Source organism: Homo sapiens, chromosome 12 (assembly GCF_000001405.40).
Source record: "Homo sapiens chromosome 12, GRCh38.p14 Primary Assembly".
Lineage (NCBI taxonomy): Eukaryota > Metazoa > Chordata > Mammalia > Primates > Hominidae > Homo > Homo sapiens.
The window spans coordinates 31,856,759-31,860,008 of record NC_000012.12 but is presented as its reverse complement, the minus strand read 5'-3'; the positions used below and the strand labels follow the sequence as shown (position 1 = coordinate 31,860,008).

At 42.0% G+C, this 3,250-nt stretch overlaps 1 annotated feature.

The window, feature by feature from the left end:
* Window positions 1-240: an enhancer, noted in NCBI's record as "active region_6178". NCBI's record gives its function as "activates an Ori minimal core promoter by ATAC-STARR-seq in GM12878 lymphoblastoid cells {active_cell/tissue: GM12878}" and the evidence as "EXISTENCE:reporter gene assay evidence [ECO:0000049][PMID:35858748]".

Here is a 3,250-nt window from a genome sequence, read left to right as displayed (position 1 = left end):
CACCCAAATTTCATCTTGTATTGTAGTTCCCATAATCCCCACGTGTCATGGGAGGGACCCTGTGGGAGGTAATTGAATCATGAGGGCGGTTTCCCCCGTGCTGTTCCCATAATAGTGCGTTCTCATGAGATCTGATGATTTTATAAGGGGCTTTCCCCGCTTTTGCTCAGCACTTCTCCTCGCTGCTGCCATGTGAAGAACGAAGGTTTTGCTTCCCCTTCCACCATGATTATAAGTTTCCTGAGGTTTCCCCAGCCCTGCGGAACTGTGAGTCAATTAAACCCCTTTCCTTTAAACTACCAAGTCTCAGGCAGTTCTTTACAGCAGTGTGAGAATGGACTAAAACAGTCAGTTATTACCACAATAATGCTTCATAACACACCTCCTATGTCTCAGACTTACAACAACAAGTTCATGGATCTTTGCATGGGCTGGAGCAACCTTGCTTTAGGCTATAGGGTGCCTGAGTGTGGCTCTAGGCTTCTACTTGGGTTCAGGACTGCTCAACATGTTTCCTCAGTTCTTTGGACCAGCAGCTAACTGGGGCATGTCCTGTAAACTTTTTGTCTTGAAATAATTTTAGACTTACTACAGTGTTTCCAAAATAGTACAGAGTTCCTGTATATCTTTTACGCAGCATTCCCTGGTGTTAACATCTTACACAATCACAGTACAGCGATCATAACCGGGAAATTAACATTCATACAATACTATTCTTCAGCCATTATTCAAATATCGCCAGTTTTCTCACTCAAAGGAAAAACTCCTAAATCTTCGTTAAAAAAATCACAGGAACAACTGTGTGCAGTGGCTCATGGCTGTAATCACAGCATTTTGGGAGGCCAAGGCGGGCGGATCACGAGGTCAGGAGTTTGAGACCAGCCTGACCAACATGGTGAAACCCCATCTCTACTAAAAATACAAAAATTAGCCCTGCGTGGTGGCACGCACCTGTTAATCCCAGCTACTCAGGAGGCTGAGGCAGGAGAATCGCTTGAACCCAGGAGTTGGAGGTTGCAGTGAGCTGAGATGGTGCCACTGCACTTCAGCCTGGGTGACAGAGCGAGACTCCATCTCAAAAAAGAATAAATAAATACATACATAAATAAATAATCGCAGGAACATATCGGAAATTATTGTCTCTTGAAGCAAGAACTGTCACACCGTTCCTTCAACTCATAGTTCTTTTCTTTTTTTTATTATTTGTTTGTTTGTTTGTTTGTTTGTTTTTTGAGACGGAGTTTTGCTCTTTATTGCCCAGGCTGGAGTGCAGTGGTGTGATCTCGGCTCACTGCAACCTTTGCCTCCCAGGTTCAAGTGATTCTCCTGTCTCAGCTGCCCAAGTAGCTGGGATTACAGGCGTCCGCCACCATGCCCGGCTAATTTTTTGTATTTTTAGTAGAGATGGGGTCACACCATTGTTGGCCAGGCTGGTCACAAACTCCTGACTTCAGGTGATCCACCCGCCTTGGCCTCCCAAAGTGTTGGGATTATAGGCGTGAGCCACCATGCCCGGCCTCAACTCATATTTCATTAGTCAAAGTAACTCACAGGAAATACATCCCTTCCCTAGTGGGGAGAACTGCAAAGTCACATGGCAAAGAGTATAAAGGTAAAATTTGGATACAGAGTATGAAAAACTAAGAATAGTCATGTGATCTACCTAACTGACCTTGTGTTTTTTCAAAAGTGACAAGTTGTGAATAGTGTTGCAACGAAAAGATAAATAAAATCAAGTGACATGATCTTTGACATACAGTAGTCGCCCCTAAAGTAATTGGAGAAAAACATGTGTTTCTTACGGTGAGGATAGATCTAAGGGCTATGGCTAGATTAAGAGAGTACTAAAAGAACCCTCGGATAGTCACATAGTTTAACATAATTTAGTCATCCCTTCTCTCTGTTAAACTTAACTTTTTCTCAGTACACCTAAAATAATTTCAAAAAGATATGTTCTTCCTCACCTACTTCTAACTTGTTTCAAAGAACATAATTTGAGGCATAATGTAAATATTGACTTTTAAAAATAGAAGTTATATTACTTTTTCTGGCCGGGTGTGGTGGCTCACGCCTATAATCCCAGCACTTTGGGAAGCTGAGGTGACTGGATCATGAGGTCAGGAGTTGAAGACCAGCCTGGCCAATATGGTGAAACCCCGGCTCTACTAAAAATACAAAAAATTAGCCAGGCGTGGTGGCGTGTGCCTGTAGTCCCAGCTATTCGGGAGGCTGAGGCAGGAGAATCGCTTGAACCCAGAAGGCGGAGGTTGCAGTGAGCCGAGATTGTGCCATTGCACTCCAGCCTGGGCACCAGGGTAAGACTCTGTCTAAATAAATAAATAAATAAAAACAGACGTTATATTACTTCTTAAAGTGTATCTACCAAATCTAATTAGCATAGGGTTTTGGTATATTCCATCATTCATCATACAAGAGAGAAAATAACACTCTTCTTCAATAGACAGACATTTTATATAATTTATTTTATCTTTGAAAAATTTTTCATTCCTTTTCCTCACAAAATTTGATTTTAATATGTGTTCAAAAGTCTTTTATTAATCATCTTATCATATTTCTCTGAGCAAAAATGTGTCTAAGAATTGAAATTATTTTAAATTGTTTTTATTTCCTGTCATCTTAAAGTTCTTTTTTTTTTTTTTTTTGAGGCAGAGTCTCGCTCTCTTGCCCAGGCTGGAGTGCAGTGGTGTGATCTCCACTCACTGCAAGCTCCGCTTCCTGGGTTCACGCCATTCTCCTGCCTCAGCCTCCCAAGTAGCTGGGACTACAGGCACCCGCCACCATGCCCAGCTAACTTTTTGTATTTTCAGTAGAGATGGGGTTTCACAGTGTTCGCCAGGATGGTCTCGATCTCCTGACCTCGTGATCCGCCCGCCTCGGCCTCCCAAAGTGCTGGGATTACAGGCGTGAGCCACCGCACCCAGCCGATCTTAAAGTTCTAAGTGGTCAATGTTTCTTCTGGATTAAATGATCACTACAGTTATTAGTAATAAACAAACAATCACAAAAAGTAAATACACTTTTAAAAAATAATTGTTAAGCATTGTAAGAGAAACAATTCTCAGAGAATTGAAACTCTTGGTCCAGGTCCAGGGACACCTGGGAAGCTGACCCTGAATTTACTTTCTTGCAAAATTAGTTCTCAAAATGTACTAAGTTACGGTAAGTGTAGAATGTTGTGTGGACCATGCTTTTTCCACCTGAAGTGTATCTGGTTGTTGGGGCTATTTGT